At 51.9% G+C, this 16245-nt stretch overlaps 2 protein-coding genes across 21 annotated transcripts in view, besides 2 other annotated features; one reads left to right on the top strand and one right to left on the bottom strand.

Annotated features, from left to right (window-relative positions):
* PPL (periplakin) overlaps positions 1–5082 on the top strand; it is a 54642-nt gene extending 49560 nt beyond the window's left edge. For all 4 annotated transcript variants that reach the window (NM_002705.5, XM_017023375.3, XM_006720902.5 and 1 more), the window contains exons 21-22: positions 362–454; positions 1542–5082. In NM_002705.5, coding sequence (NP_002696.4) covers positions 362–454; positions 1542–4205 — 2757 coding nt within the window. In that variant the 3' untranslated portion in view covers positions 4206–5082. The remainder of the gene's footprint in view (positions 1–361; positions 455–1541) is intronic.
* Positions 1955–2455: an enhancer, noted in NCBI's record as "H3K4me1 hESC enhancer chr16:4935135-4935635 (GRCh37/hg19 assembly coordinates)". NCBI's record gives its function as "activates a minimal SCP1, AML or CMV promoter by ChIP-STARR-seq in primed H9 embryonic stem cells {active_cell/tissue: H9 hESC(primed)}" and the evidence as "EXISTENCE:reporter gene assay evidence [ECO:0000049][PMID:30033119]".
* Positions 3214–3414: a silencer, noted in NCBI's record as "peak2474 fragment used in MPRA reporter construct". NCBI's record gives its function as "represses an SCP1 promoter by STARR-seq MPRAs in K562 erythroleukemia cells {active_cell/tissue: K562}" and the evidence as "EXISTENCE:reporter gene assay evidence [ECO:0000049][PMID:32103011]".
* Positions 5188–16245, bottom strand: part of UBN1 (ubinuclein 1) — a 34921-nt gene continuing 23863 nt past the window's right edge. For 5 of the 17 annotated variants that reach the window (NM_001079514.3, XM_017023190.3, XM_047434037.1 and 2 more), the window contains 6 exons: positions 14655–14705; positions 14516–14558; positions 12155–13378; positions 10478–10718; positions 10115–10204; positions 5188–7506 (listed from right to left, as the gene is read on the bottom strand). In NM_001079514.3, coding sequence (NP_001072982.1) covers positions 7457–7506; positions 10115–10204; positions 10478–10718; positions 12155–13378; positions 14516–14558; positions 14655–14705 — 1699 coding nt within the window. In that variant the 3' untranslated portion in view covers positions 5188–7456. 17 annotated transcript variants of the gene reach the window in all.

Raw genomic sequence — 16245 nt, 5'->3', positions numbered from 1 at the left:
AAGTGTCAGGGTCAGAACCATGGATCTGGGAAGTTCCTGTTTTGCTCACCTCAGTAAGTACAGTGGAGGGCTGATATTAGTCTCCTGTACACACAAGAGAGAACACTGGTGCTCTAAGAGGCAGAAAGACTTGCTCAAAGTCAGTGTGGCCAAGACCCTGGCCTGGATCTTCTGCCTCGAGATCCATTTTTCTCTCCACCGGTGAGGCTACAGTCTAACTCCAGGCAGGAGTGGGCAAGAGCTATGCCTCTACCCCCAAATTCCACACTTCTCAAGAACCACGTCCACGCTGTCTAGCTCTCTGTTGCTTACCCTGTTGACACCTGTTTGTTGACCGCTCTCCTAATCCTCTTCTCTGCAGGAAGCAGCACTTGCCGCCAAGTTCACTGAAGTTTATGCCATCAACAGACAGAGGCTGCAGAATCTGGAGTTTGCTCTGAATCTCCTCAGACAGGTAACTGATCTTAGTAAGAAATTCTACTTCAGGCTGTTCTAACAGGTGACAAATACAGACTCTGTCTTAGAGAAATGGTTTGTGAATTGATGGAAGTGTCCCCTTGCTAACGTTTCTGGGCAGGGCCAATGCAAAGACTGGCCCGAGCCAATGCTTCTACTGACATGAGAACTTATTCAACTCAGTAAACATCTGCTGAAAGTGAATGCTATTTTCAGCTGGGCATGGTGGCTCACGCTTGTAATCCCAGCACTTTGGGAGGCCGAGGCAGGCGGATCACCTGAGGTCAGGAGTTCGAGACCAGCCTGGCCAACATGGTAAAACTCCGTCTCTACTAAAAATACAAAAATTAGCTGGGCGTCGTGGCGCATGCTTGTAATCCCAGCTACTCAGGAGACTGAGGCAGGAGAATTGCTTGAACCCAGGAGGTGGAGGTTGCAGGGAGCTGAGACTGTGCCACTGCACTCCAGCCTGGGCAACAGAGCGAGACTCTGTCTCAGAAAAAAAGAAAGAAACAAAAGAAAGTGAATGTTATTTTCTGAAGTCCATGATGTTGATGACAGCATTGTTTTTTAATAGCAAGACACTGGAAGCAGTTCACTCTTCATCAGCAATGGGCTAAACTGCGGTCTGTCCAGAGAGCGGAAACAATGCTGCTGGTAAATCCTGAAGCAGCACTCTCTGTGCTGAGCTGGAATGAGCTCTGTAAGTGCAGTGAGCAGCAGGAATACCATTTGTGCAGGAGAGATAAACACATGGTACATACTACAGACAGATATTCTTGTGTGAGCACAGATAGCATCTGCAAGGCTGACAGACACGCCCTAGGACGGGGACCAGAGGTGGGAGACCGTGGTTTCATTTTAAACTCTTCCACAGCTCAAAAATGTTTTACCTGATTAAAAAAAACCCCAAACTAGTTGTTTGATCCTTTTTGAAAGTAACCCTAGAACTCTACAACTAACATGAACTGGCACTGAGGGAGTCCCTTGGGGACCACAGGACAGCCACTCTGACCAGGTGGGGACAGGCCCTACATGTGCTGCCAGAGCCTGGCTTTAACCTTGTCTTGTCTTCTCCATCACAGCAGCCGGAAGTAGAAGTGACCCATGAGACCCTGCAAAGGAATAGGCCGGACTCTGGAGTGGAGGAGGCGTGGAAGATCAGGAAGGAACTGGATGAGGAGACTGAGCGGAGGCGGCAGCTGGAGAACGAGGTCAAGAGCACCCAGGAAGAAATCTGGACCTTGAGGAATCAGGGGCCTCAGGAATCGGTGGTGAGGAAGGAGGTGCTCAAGAAGGTGCCGGATCCCGTGCTGGAGGAGAGCTTCCAGCAGCTGCAGCGGACGCTGGCAGAGGAGCAGCACAAGAACCAGCTGCTGCAGGAGGAGCTGGAGGCACTGCAGCTGCAGCTGCGTGCCCTGGAGCAGGAGACCAGAGACGGGGGGCAGGAGTACGTGGTCAAGGAGGTCCTGCGCATCGAGCCTGACAGGGCCCAGGCGGATGAGGTCTTGCAGCTGCGGGAGGAGCTGGAGGCACTGAGGCGGCAGAAGGGCGCCCGGGAGGCAGAGGTGCTCCTCCTGCAGCAGCGTGTGGCCGCCCTGGCTGAAGAGAAGAGCCGGGCGCAGGAGAAGGTCACAGAGAAAGAGGTGGTGAAACTGCAGAATGACCCCCAGCTGGAGGCAGAGTACCAGCAGCTGCAGGAGGACCACCAGCGCCAGGACCAGCTCAGGGAGAAGCAGGAGGAGGAGCTGAGCTTCCTCCAGGACAAGCTCAAGAGGCTAGAGAAGGAGCGGGCCATGGCCGAGGGCAAGATCACCGTCAAGGAGGTGCTCAAGGTGGAGAAGGACGCGGCCACCGAGAGGGAGGTCAGCGATCTCACCCGCCAATATGAGGACGAGGCTGCCAAGGCTCGCGCTAGCCAGAGGGAGAAGACGGAGCTGCTCCGAAAGATATGGGCCTTGGAGGAGGAGAACGCCAAAGTGGTGGTGCAGGAGAAGGTGCGGGAGATCGTGCGGCCAGACCCCAAGGCGGAAAGTGAAGTGGCGAACCTCCGCCTGGAGCTTGTGGAGCAGGAGCGAAAGTACCGGGGTGCCGAGGAGCAGCTCCGGAGCTACCAGAGTGAGCTGGAGGCCCTCAGGAGGCGAGGCCCCCAGGTGGAAGTCAAAGAGGTGACTAAGGAAGTCATTAAGTACAAGACTGACCCTGAGATGGAGAAGGAGCTTCAGCGGCTCAGGGAGGAGATCGTGGACAAGACCAGACTGATCGAAAGGTGTGATTTAGAGATCTACCAGCTGAAAAAGGAAATCCAGGCCCTGAAAGACACCAAACCCCAGGTCCAGACCAAAGAGGTGGTCCAGGAGATCCTCCAATTCCAAGAAGACCCTCAAACCAAGGAGGAGGTGGCGTCTCTGAGGGCAAAGCTCTCAGAGGAGCAGAAGAAACAAGTGGATCTGGAGAGGGAAAGAGCTTCCCAGGAAGAGCAGATCGCCCGGAAAGAGGAGGAGCTCTCGCGGGTGAAGGAAAGGGTGGTGCAGCAGGAGGTGGTCAGGTATGAGGAGGAGCCAGGCCTGCGGGCCGAGGCGAGCGCCTTTGCCGAGAGCATCGATGTGGAGCTGCGGCAGATTGACAAGCTGCGGGCAGAGCTGCGGCGGCTGCAGCGCCGGCGCACCGAGCTTGAGCGGCAGCTGGAGGAGCTAGAGCGCGAGCGGCAGGCCCGCAGGGAGGCCGAGCGCGAGGTACAGCGGTTGCAGCAGCGGCTGGCAGCGCTGGAGCAGGAAGAAGCTGAGGCCCGTGAGAAGGTAACCCATACGCAGAAGGTGGTGCTGCAGCAGGACCCGCAGCAGGCGCGAGAGCATGCCCTGCTCCGACTCCAGCTGGAAGAAGAGCAGCACCGGCGGCAGCTCCTGGAGGGGGAGCTCGAGACCCTCCGGAGGAAACTGGCTGCACTGGAGAAGGCGGAGGTCAAGGAGAAGGTGGTGCTCTCCGAGAGTGTCCAGGTGGAGAAGGGCGACACCGAGCAAGAGATCCAGAGGCTCAAGAGCAGCCTGGAGGAGGAGAGCCGCAGCAAGCGCGAGCTGGACGTCGAGGTGAGCCGGCTGGAAGCCAGGCTTTCGGAGCTGGAATTCCATAACTCCAAGTCATCCAAGGAACTAGACTTTCTGAGGGAAGAGAACCACAAATTACAGCTGGAGAGGCAAAACCTGCAGCTGGAGACCCGAAGGCTCCAATCGGAAATCAACATGGCAGCGACGGAAACACGAGACCTGCGGAACATGACCGTGGCGGACTCTGGGACCAACCATGACTCCAGACTGTGGTCCCTGGAGAGGGAACTGGATGACCTCAAGAGGCTCTCCAAGGACAAAGACCTCGAGATCGACGAGCTGCAGAAGCGCCTGGGCTCCGTGGCCGTCAAGCGGGAGCAGCGGGAGAACCACCTGCGGCGCTCCATCGTAGTCATCCACCCTGACACAGGCCGCGAGCTGTCCCCGGAGGAAGCCCACCGTGCCGGGCTCATTGACTGGAACATGTTCGTGAAACTCAGAAGCCAGGAGTGCGACTGGGAGGAGATCTCAGTGAAGGGTCCCAATGGGGAGTCCTCAGTGATACACGACAGGAAGTCTGGCAAGAAGTTCTCCATCGAAGAGGCCCTGCAGAGTGGCAGGCTGACCCCTGCTCAGTATGACCGCTATGTCAACAAGGATATGTCCATCCAGGAGCTGGCGGTCTTGGTATCTGGGCAGAAGTAGGCACAGCTCTTGCAACTCTTCGTAACGGCAGACGCTGGCCCTCTCCTACGACGCAGTGACCTCCTTGGTGTCGTCCTCTCCCTTGCCCTGGTGCAGGCCAAGCATTTTATACATACCCTCGCTGCCAGGCTGCTCAGAGTCCCGCCCACATATGAGACAGGCACTGGCTGAAGACAGGCAACTCTCGTCCCAACCATCATTCACCCTGAGTGACGTACTTCATCCTCCAATGACTGGACAACTGCGATGCCTTTTCCTCCCTTTTCCTGTACACTCCCAGCAACAAACTCCTCATGATAACTGCACACAATCTGAAAACCACTGAAGGACAAGCCAACCACAGCAGCCAAGCCCACTCCTTGCAGCATGGGTACTGGTGGCACACCAGACAGTGACACTGCCCCACAAAGGCCTGGGCCCGTGGGGGCTGCTGCCTGGCATGACATCTCTCCAGATTTCTGGCTTAAAACCAACTTTCCATCCGAGAAGCCTCCTCAGTAGTTACTCTGCTCATGAGACAGATCTGGGCTCCAAGCCAGGAAAGGTGAACAGAAACCACAAGTGTCCAGCCCTCGGTGCTGGAGTGGACGTTAATTGTCAGCCACCAGACTGTCCCGGCACCTACAGAGAATGTTTCACAGTTCTGGCATTTAAATCCTTTGATAGTGGATTGTGCTGCTGTTAGCCTTAGTTTCAGTGCTTTACAAGTCTCGCTTATTATCTCACTGGTATTTAGGTATACAAAACAGTTGATTATTCACCACGCCAATATCTGGGTCTCTGTATCTCATGTAGAACATAAGAAAATGGGAACTAATAGGGAAATTTATTTATAGCATGAAAATAAACCTGGTGGCTGGAGTCTGCTTGTACGGTCCACATGTTTCTTCTTTTGCATGCAAGGCTTACTCCCCCGCCCCCCCCCCTTGGCTTTCAGCCAAAATGGATATTCCATCTGTAACAGCTCCTACAGGAAGAACTACTTACTTCCACATGGTAGAAAGAAAAGAGTGAGAAAAAATGTTTTGGAAACCTTGAAACAATTTATTGAATTGCTTTATACAAGATTAACAATCTCCACACCACCCCTAACACCAACATAGTCGCTGCACAAAAGCCACAGCCCCTCTCACACCTAAGAAACGGTCACGCCCGGTAAGTGCTCAGAGACTTTCGCTGCGCCAGGGAAACCCCTGCAGCCCCCAGACCCCGAGGCTGCTCTGCCCCACCCTCTGCTGCGGCCTCGCCTGTAGGTCTGCCTTGCCATGGCTGTTCAGTCATTCGCTCTTTCATTACCACAAATAAAGCATAAACAAGGAAAAGAAATCTCAAACTCCCCATCAAAGAAACGTTTCCCTGAGGCAAGAGGCATCACTAGATTCCTAAAAATGAGGGTATTCTGCTCCAGCTGCACGCGCAATGGTACGTGGGGAGGAGGGAGCACCAAAGGGAAAGGAAGGAGGGCCTGGGACCCGGGTGTTTATGGGCAGAGAAGCCTGGAGAGTCCCTGCTCAGCCTCCACTGCCGGCCTCTGCTTGGCTTTGAGCTCAGCAATACAAATCTCTTCTTTGGCTCTTTTGCTACTACCTAAGACTACTCTGTAAACAAACTGGAAATCCAAGTTGCAAAAAATATATATAACAAAGGGATAAGGAATCCACTTAGCCCAATGTGAAACACGGATTGGTTCTTATGTAAAAAAAGGAGACAGAGCAGAGGCCGGGCCAAAGGGCGGACAGAGGTCTTGCTCCTTGGGAAACCGGGAAGGCCAGCAAACCTCTGAATGAAGGATGAGTTACTGGGCGCTGTACCCTGGGAGTCAGGAGCCAAGAGCGGTCCGTTTTCCCACAGGTGTATGTGCTGAGGACACCGTATACTCTCAACGTGCCTGATCACTTAGCTGGAGCAGTCAGTTCAGACTCACCTTGTGGCACAGACCTCACAAGACAGGCAAGTGCCCTCAAATCCTTGTGAAACAGCCACTGGTTGAGTGGTGACTTAGGAGCTCTGCAGTAACTGTCCTAGTCTCTCTGATCCACTCTCCAAGCTCTTCTGCACATCACCCTTCAGTCGACACATAACCCCACTGCCTGGAGAGCCCCAGGACTTCAAGGCCTATTTCTACCCGGCAGACACTTCACAGAGGCCTGCTTCTGCCGCACTGCCTAAGAATGATTCCTAAGAATACAAACTGGAATGTCTATCTGTGACTTGGGACCCCTGGTATCCTTGACCCTCAGAGAGATGAAGGGCTCTGGGCTCTGCAGTCCACCTCCACGAACTCTGGAAAAACAAAATGGGAGCCCTGGCTATACTGGGACTTGGAATTTGGGGGCCCAGACAACCTTCTAGTCAGGACGGCACAGATAATGATGTGCAAGTGTAAAAAACTCAAAACTGGCTTTCTCTTCAATACAGACATATCTTTAAAAAGGTCTTCGTCTCAGATCCATTCAGAGGGCTGAATGGACATGTGTTGTCGAATTCTGCTCCACCATAAAGGCACTGGAATTATGTCTTCCTATAATATGATGTGTGAAGAACAGTCCCCTTCTATCCAATGCATTTAATGGTAATGATGAAAACTGAGCCCAAAATAGGTGTCTGTAAAAATCCTATCATAATTGTTGAATCTACAAAGGTCTTTTCTCTAAAAGAGCTTCATTGTCATGTTCCGAGGAGAAACTGGCCCCCACAGTGAGCACACCCTAGGTGTTCTTAGTATTTCGCAGGGACAGTGCAGGTCTCCCAGCTGTGGCTCTGGCCTGAGTTTTGTCCGCTTTGAGCACACAGCCTGGGGATGGGGCGGCACTGTGACCATCCAGGGAGCTTACTGCAGCCAGAAGGAGCCCCTGAGCAGTGGGGTGCTCTGAGGTACTCTGACCAAATGCCAGGGGATCAGGCAGATTCACCCACAGGTGTGCCAACTGCTCTGCCACCAGAGCCTGTAAACACTGTGCCTCCCACCACGGCCCAGCGCAAGCCCCAGCCTAGAGCTGCCCCTCTAACAACCGTCTAGCGACAGAGCTGCAAGGCCCAGAGCACGGGGCAGTCTGCACCTCCTGAGCAGCAAGGGCCCGGCTCCCTCCATGGGAGGCACATCAGAAGTGCCGAGAAGCGCTCCGCTGAGAACTCACGCTCCTCCAGAAGAACACCAAGCAGCAGAAAGGGCGCAGTGAGTGTACATCCTGGGAGACCTGCACGTTCTGATTCCACCCAGACCCAAGTGGCAAGCCTTGCCTCTGAAGCGGTCACAATTTCCGTGGTACAGCAGGCCCTTTCCCGTGAAGCTGAGAAGCACCTGGAAAAGAGTAAGAAAAATTAGAACGCAAGTTTTTCATGCTCTCTGATTTCCTTAAGGCAGTAGTAACCAAACTTCAAGGGAGACACCTAAATAGCAAAAGTCCCCAAATGCTGAGTGTTCTAGAGCTCAAACAAGCCATGAGACACCAGCCAGCAGTTATTCGTGTACACTACTCCTGGCCACAGCCTGCAAGCACACTAGCACTGTGAAGGTCGGTGGTCACTCAGCACAGTGTTTCCAGAACAGCAACTCTGCTGTGCAACTTGGGCTACGTCATCTCAGGCTACAATTGCCATCCTGAGGCGAGGCCTGACGATCACACAGAACTCAAGGCAGCAATGATCATTCATTCTCTTACCATCAAAAGACCCTCAGGTCCTGTAAAGACAAATTCAAAGGCACTAGCATTCTCAGTCCACAGAAGAAAGAAAGGAAAGCAACGCAGACACAAGTCACGCAGCTGAAATGCGCAAATAGCTTCTTACTCGCATCTCGTGTCATCCTATAAGCTGAAGTCCATCTAAGGAAGTGAGAGAAGCTCACTTGGATAACCCTGTTTTGGTATAGTTGCTTTTCTGATTGATTTTCTTTTTCCTCGAACTTTTAAACTGATTAAAAAAAATTTTTTTAGAGATGAGGTCTCACTATGTTGCCCAGGCTGGAGTACAGCAGCTATTCACAAGCATGATCACAGCACACTATACCCTCTGATTCCTGGGTTCAAGCAATCCTCCTGCCTCTCAATGCCACCACATCCAGCCTCTGAGAGCCTTAAACAGTTTTAAAAACTGACTCATAATAATGACACATATTTTATGGGGTACATAGTGATGTTTCAACATCTAAAATGTGTAGTGTCACGTTAGAGTTATTAGCATATCCATCATCTCAAACGTTTTTCATCTCCTTTTGCTGGCGACGTTCAATATCCTCCTCCTAACTGAAACTACATACTACTGTTAACTACAGTCACCCTACAGTGGTATAGAACACTAGCACTTATTCTTCCTATTCTGATAGCCTTTTCATACCCAGAGGAAAAATGAAAATATAGCAGAAAGCAATCTTTTGAGACAGGGTCTCACTCTTGCCCAGGCTGGAGTGCAGTAGCATGACCACGGCTCGCTGCAGCCTCGACCTCCTCGGCTCAAGTGATCCTTCTGCCTCAGCTTCCTAAAGAGCTGGGACTACAGGCACATGCCACCACACCTGACTAATTTTTTTCTTTAAATGTAGAGATAGGGTCTTGCCATGTTGCCCAGGCTGGTCTTGAACTCCTGGACTCAGGCAATCCTCCTGCCTTGGCCTCCCAAAGTGCTGGGATTACAGGTGATAGCCACCGCGTCCGGCCTCAATTACTTTGCTTTTCTGAGAGTAACATTCCTGAGAGTAAGCAAAGGCAGGGCAGCCTGACTTTGGAAAGACCCCTGCTCTCACCAAGGTGGCTCTGCAGCCTCTAGTCTGTAGAGAAGTCACTGCACTTTACTTCTCCTCCCAAGGAAAGGAGGAGTCACTAGTGCTATAGGCTTAGCCCCTCAAAGAAGCACAGTTTCCATTGTGGAGATTTACAGATTTAGTCTTGCCCCATATGGCCTCTGGTGTTTACTATAATGCGCCATGGTGCCAGGGAGCCACAGCACATCATGAGGCAGATGTAACTTGGGAGACGTGCAGCACAGAGGGTCCTTACTTCCACCTGGCACCAGTTCGCCAGGGTTACCTCGGCTGGCTTCCATACGAGCGGCTCTCCCCTTATCCAAGTAGCACCCTGGTCATGTCTGAAGCGGGTCTACAGTAGGAACAATGCTAGGTCAAAGCTGAGACACCATGAGACTTCCCATGCCAGAATTCCAGGAGGCGTACCCAAGAATCGCAGACTCGGGATAGGGTGAGGCAGACGCACTCAATGCAAAGGTACCAACCCGGGGCACCTGAGCCCAGTTCTCAGGTGCTACCAGAGCAGCCTCAAGCCTGAGGCTTTTAGAAGTTCCCTATTTCAGAAGATGCTAAGGGGAGCACCGACCACATGCCTGCTGTGCTCCCACAAATCTGTTCTGATGGAGTTTTCACACTTGGACAGATTTAAAGCTGCTCCTCTCAAAGTCTTGCACTGTGGCCTCTGGCTGCTACCTGGATTTTCCCTTTAATGGAAACAAAGTTTAGAGAGCCTTCTGTTAAGCAATCACATCTGACAGTGGAGCAGCTTGCATTCCAAGACCTTGTTGTACCCAATTAGCCCTTGGAGAAGATGCACCATTACCTTCCCTTTTTTTTTTTTTTTAAACTGAAGAGAAAAAAACAAGCCGAGGGTTAGGAACTCCTCCACCGCACACAAAAGCGCACCACCCTGCCCCCCGCAACTTTCCCTGTGATCACACAGGCTGAGGCTGACCTGGCGGCAGCTCCAAGTGGGGACCAGAGGAAACCCCAAGAGTAGAAGTGCGTGTCACCCTGAGTACTGACAAAGCACAGCCTCAAAGGACAAACCAAAACAACAACAGCGTCAAGGCAAAGACACCAAGACCCTTGGCAGCGGCAAAGCACCTAGGGGTGGAGAGGGCAAAGGCACACGGTGCGCGTGGCACACTGACCGTCGGGTGATTACCTGGCAGACTCTGCGGGATATGGGTGGGCACCGCAGCGTGTGGGAGAGGCGCTGCATGGGGCGGGCTGGAGTGCAAGCCAGCCAGAAGACCTGAGAGAAAACAGGAGGGGAGAAAAGAACAAAACACACACATTGAAGACAGGAACAGGAAAGCAGCTCCAGCAGCCAAAAGCCCCCGATAACCTGCCAGGCCAGTCTGGGCACCACACCCAAAGGGGCAGTGGGGGCTTGGCACAGTTCCCGGAGATGTTCCCCACAGTCACACACCAGACTCAAACACAGGAACCAGAGTACACAACAGCAGGACCCCTGGCCACAATCTAGAGGTTCCTGAGTGACCAGAGGCAGCAAAGAAGCACTTACTGTGGCCAAGGCCATGGTGGAAGGACCCGGGGGCAGGGCCTGTGACGATGGCATCCTTGGAGACCCCTGCTTTGGCAGAGGAGTCAGCGCTGAAGGAGAGCACATGGACAGGAATAGGGACAGGGGTTATAATTCCCAAGGAGTTCGAGCTCATGGCCCCAGACAGCTTTGGGCTGCTGGATTTGTAGGGTGAAGCCATCAAAGAGGAGCCGGCCAGCAGCACAGTCCCACTCGCTCCTTTCTAGGGAAGAAACACAGCAAGCGGTAAGAACTCCAGTCCTGTTCGTGGCTCACTCACACCAAACCTGGCAACACAAAGGATCCTCCTTGTGTGTCCACAAAGGAGGACATACACATCCATGTCAGATGGCCCTGGGAGGCACCCTCCGACCCTGCAGCCCCAAAGACAGGATCCAGGACAGTCTTTATGAACCAACATGGAATGGATTCCAGGGAACATAATTTTTTTAAAAGCAGGATATTAAATATGTCTCCTACAGAGGTTGCAGTGAGCTGTGATCGCGCTACTGCAGTCCAGCCTAGGTGACAGAGCCAGACTCTGTCTCAAAAAAAAAAAGCCTCCTTTGTGAAGGGAAAAATGTAATATAGATATCCATAAATGTTCATGGATATTTATATGTGTATATATATTTATATACATACATACACACACATACATATATACCTTTATTTATATTTATTAATCTTTTGTTTAAAAAGAGGAAAATAAACCAGAAACTAAAGAGCTTAGTTACCTTACAGAGGTGGTGGGTGCAGGAAAGGAGGTGAGACCTCCAACAGACCTTTCTATGGTTTTGTCTTTGCAACCACTTCATTTATATATTAGAAAAAGAGGCCGGGTGCAGTGGCTCACACCTGCAATCCCAGCACTTTGGGAGGCCGAGGCGGGCAGATCACGAGGTCAGGAGATCGAGACTATCCTGGCTAACATGGTGAAACTCCATCTCTACTAAAAACACAAAAAATTAGCTGGGCGTGGTGGCGGACGCCTGTAGTCCCAGCTACTCAAGAAGCTGAGGCAGGAGAATGGCGTGAACCCGGGAGGTGGAGCTTGCGCTGAGCCGAGATAGCGCCACTGCACTCCAGCCTTGGTGAAAGAGCAAGACTTCGTCTCAAAAAAAAAAAAAAGAAAAAAAGAAAAGAAAATGCTCACTCCCTCTTCCCGAACCTGCTGTGATTACACACAAGCGAGATGCATTAATTATTGGACTCTGTCCTTCAAAAACCAACAGAATCACTCTTAGAAGGTCCTGCTATTCCTGGTCCATGAACACCTCCACATGACTCAACTGATAGAAGACAGCATTTCCAGCCCCCTTTAGAGAGATGGAGAGGCAAGGGGTCACGGAAGGCAAGGGCTGTTGCTCATTCTGTGCCACACAGACAGCCTCCGAAGAGGCATGGTGCTTGGTGCTGGCCATCCTTTAGGTCCCTCTGCCCTCCTCAGAAGAAGCTTTAGGCCATCCTGGGCTTCCTGTCACCAGAAAAGTGAATACCTGAGAACAGGGAGCCCAGTCTCCCTTCCTACGTCTGAGCCCACTGTTCCTACCTGACCTGTGGTTTTAGATCTCACTCTCCACCCGGGGCAAGGCAAGCAACCTCATCCCCAAGGCCCCTGTGAGTGGGGCAGGGCAGGCTGCTATGACAGATACTCACTGACAAGGAGGTAGACGATGTCACACTACTAACTGCAGAGGGCTTTAGGGACGGCGAGGTCAGCAACTTTGCCACTCCCTGGGTCCCACCACTGGAATCTCCGTTTGGACCGCCTGGAGGGGCTACCAGAGTCAACTTCTGGGAAACAGGCATTTTTTTCCCTGCTGAACTTGGGACGGGTCGGCTGGTGGCCTGTCCCACGGAGGGAGGCTGTATGCCAGGGACCAGGCTCCCAGAAACAGAACTCTGGACTGGTGTTCCTCCCGAGGAAGAGCTGCCAGAAGAAACCCCATGTTTGGAGATTGAGCTGGCAAAGGGATTATTCTTGTAAGATGAGCCTGCAGAGCTGACTGAATGTGGCTTTGCTGGATGGCTCAGGGCAGAAGAGGACGAGGCTGGGGTCTTGTGAGAGCTGCTGCTGGAGGCTGACAGGCCTCCTGAGGTGGCTGGTGCAGAGGGATGGAAGCCCTGGCCTTTGGCCGCTGTCTTCACTAACTGCAGGAGGGAACGATGACACTGTGTGGGAGAAGCCTTTGGGCCTTGGAGCTTATTGGCAAATGGAGATGGGGGCGTGAAGTTTTTCTGCTGCTGAGTGCCGGCATGAAAGACTTTGACCTGGGGGCCAGGCACAGGAACTGCCACTTGGGGCCCGTGAGACGTCCGTGGCAAGCTGTGGTGCTTAGCTTTGGACTGATGTACTTCTGGCAGGCCCTTATTGAGGGGAGCCTGGCAGGACAGCTCTTTGTAGCCAGAACTCTCTGGTTTTTTCTCCTGAGAGGACTGCCCCAGTGCCAGAGCCTGTTCTGCCAGAAAATTGAGGGGTGACTGCAGAGAGCTAGCTGGTGGTGGAGCAGAAGGACTAGGCTTCGCAAAGTTCCTTTTTTCTTCTGTACATAAAACGCCTCCAACTTTTTCTGCAGGTGCTTTTGAGGGTGCAGGCAGTGTGAATTCAGAGTTCCCAGCTGCTCTGCTATTCAATGCAGCCAATTCCTTGGACACGGCTTCCACCGAGGAGGCTGGATTGCGGATCAAGTCTTCATCCAATGAGTCCTCCAGGTTGACAGGAGGAGGGTTAGCAAGGCCGCCCGATGCCTGGGATGGGAGCTCCCTGCTCGAGGCCCCAATACTCAGGCCTCCTGTTTGGTGATCTGAGGGCAAAGCAATGGGGCCACCAATCTGTCCTGATGGGACAGAAACCTTTTTATCAGGCTTCGTAGACGATTCCTAAAGGAAAACAGAAATGTTGATGTTTAGAAAGGTCCAAAGATGCCAACATTGGCCTGTTGTGAGGATACAAACATGTGAACTCGAGTCAAAAAAACTGGGCCTTCCTGTATAATTACAAGACAAGTGGTGGGACAGAGCAGGAGCTGTGCCCGCCTTGACTTTAGATGCCATGACTTCATCACCCCTGGTGAGTATCTGGTTGGCCAGGGCTGGGTTTACCCCGGCATGCTTCGTTGCTAAGTACAAACAAGCCGCCAGGAGAAACTTTCTTCTGTTTTGAAAAGCGTTAAGACTCTCGTGAAGAGATACTCTGCCTACTGGCATTCCCACTGTCTCAGCGCACTCCTAGCTGCAATCAGACCAAGGCATGGCATGAGAATTGCCTTAAAGCAGCTATTTTTCCCTTCTTGATTTTTCCCAGCACCCATCTCCTCAGACTGGGTTCAAAGAAGAGTGAGCTTTTCATGGGAACAGGAATGGGGTCTAATCCTTCACTCCTGCATCCCTGGTGCTTAATACAGTGTGTCTGGGACATTGTGGGAGCTCAACAGATACTTAGGAGTAAATGATTTGCACATCTCATTCTCACGGTCTGCTTAGGGATGGCTAAGGGCACCACACTAAGAACTGGGAAAAATGTTGATAAACAGCAATTTTTACTACATTGAGAGGTTTCTGCAACATCTAAGGTAATTTTCACAGTGTCTATTCTCCAGCCACTATATTGCCCTCCATTTCTGCCTGGTAGCTCAGTAAAGTCGCCTTTTCTTTCTGCTGTGGCTCCAAGCTAAACTGCACTTGGCTAGAGTGTATTTCTTCCATACAAAGATCACAGTGTAACACGTTCACACCTTCAGGGACTACTGACTCCTCAGAGGGCTGCCAAGAAGATCCCACTTAATCCCACATGAACCCCAGGAACTGGGCCAGCTGGGTACTGTTTGTAGAACCAAGGCTAGAGGGGGGTTAAGTGGCTTGGGTCTCTGTCCTGTTATGACTTCAAGAATGTCATCCTGAGCAGCTGTCCCCAGACGAGCAAAGATCAATGAGCTTCCACAGTCACTTGACTGTTTCCAGAGCATAGTTGTAGGGAGATGGGCATAGCTGACATGTGACCCGAGCAAACTGACTCACCTTCACCTTGATTTTAGAAGGGGCCATAACTTTCTTCTTGGCCCTGTTCAAAGGAATGAGCACAGAAAAGTTTAGAGAATATCCAGAGGAGACCAAAAACAACACTTGTCCCGAGATGTGAAAATACCAAGACACTCACAGGATTGAAGTCAGGTGCCCATGGCCTCGTCTGCTCTCCTTAAACAGAGTTCTGAAAGACACAGAACACCAGGCATCTGTACATGCCCCAGAAAGCTGGGACTCTGCTTCCAGAACTTTGCTAGTGTCCCTGGTCCTCAGTAGCTATCCCTCATTAAATGTCAACTGGCCAGGCGCAGTGGCTCACGCCTGTAATCCCAGCACTTTTGGAGGCCAAGGCAGGTGGATCACCTGAGGTCAGGAGTTCGAGACCAGCCTGGCCAACATGGTGAAACCCCGTCTCTACTAAAAATACTAAAATTAGCCAGGCGTGGTGGCGCACGCCTGTAATCCCAGCTACTCGGGAGGCTGAGGCAGGAGATTCGCTCAAACCGGGGAGGCGGAGGTTGCAGTGAGCCGAGATCGTGCCATTGCACTCCAGTCTGGGCAACAGAGTGAGACTTTGTCCCCGCCCCCCCACCATGCCCACCCACCCCCCACACACACAAAAAAAAAGGTCAATGGATTGGGGAGCCAAATTCCTGGTGAGAGGATCTCAATGGGACACACTGGCTGCCCAAAGGCTGAGTCTGGCCTTTACCAAGAAAATGTATGGCTCTGCCTCAAACCTCTCATGGTGATGCTTCCCTAAAGGGCACAGCACTTTCCTTATTGCCTAGTCCCTCCATTCCAGGAATAAAATGTGGAGTGACCCAGCATGTCTTTGTCCAGAGAAACTCAACAAAAACGTTCTTCGTATGAGTCCAGCCTACGTAGAGAGGACAGCAATTTCAAAGGTTCCAAGATCTATCCGCACAACAGATGATTCGAGTCCAATCAAGAAAATCACTCCAGCTAACTTTCTCTGTCCCATGTATGACACAAATACTTCATTCGCAGGAAGTGACTTCGTACAAGGTAGCCTCTGAGATGGAAGCCTGGCACTTAGTTCCAATAAGGAGTCAGCCCTGCTACCTGCAAATGACACTTCTTCAGGAACATCAGGAAAGACCCAAGATGAACCCATCTCTCAAATGCTCATAGCAGCCTGTATGTTAAAACAGGAAGTGTGGCCGGGTGTGGTGGCTCACGCCTGTAATCCCAGCACTTAGGGAGGCCAAGGTGGGCAGATCACAAGGTCAGGAGATTGAGACCATCCTGGCTAACACGGTGAAACCCCATTTCTACTAAAAATACAAAAAATTAGCCGGGCATGGTGGCAGGCACCTGTAGTCCCAGCTACTCGGGAGGTTGAGGCAGGAGAACGGCGTGAACCTGGGAGGTGGAGCTTGCAGTGAGCTGAGATCATACCACTGCACTCCAGCCCAGGCAACAGAGCGAGACTCCATCTCAAAAAAAAAAAAAAAAAAAAAAAAAAAAGGAAAGTGCATATTGAGATGGGAGGCCAAACATCAACTGAAGTGGGACAAAAAATGACAAAAACAAAACCCTGGAGGCAACTTCCCTTCCTCCAGGGAAGATCCAGAAGACCCTTTCCCAGCTACCTGCATGTCCCCCAGTTACTCAGGTGAGATCAGAGTTGAGGCAGCTAGACAGTGACTCCCTGTGAGCAAGGATCCTGTTGGCCTGGCACAAAAGCAGCGTTCAAACGT

This window comes from Homo sapiens, chromosome 16 (genome assembly GCF_000001405.40).
Source record: "Homo sapiens chromosome 16, GRCh38.p14 Primary Assembly".
NCBI classification, from domain to species: Eukaryota; Metazoa; Chordata; class Mammalia; order Primates; family Hominidae; genus Homo; species Homo sapiens.
Note: the sequence above shows the minus strand (reverse complement) of the source record. Positions and strands in the feature narration are given on the sequence as shown.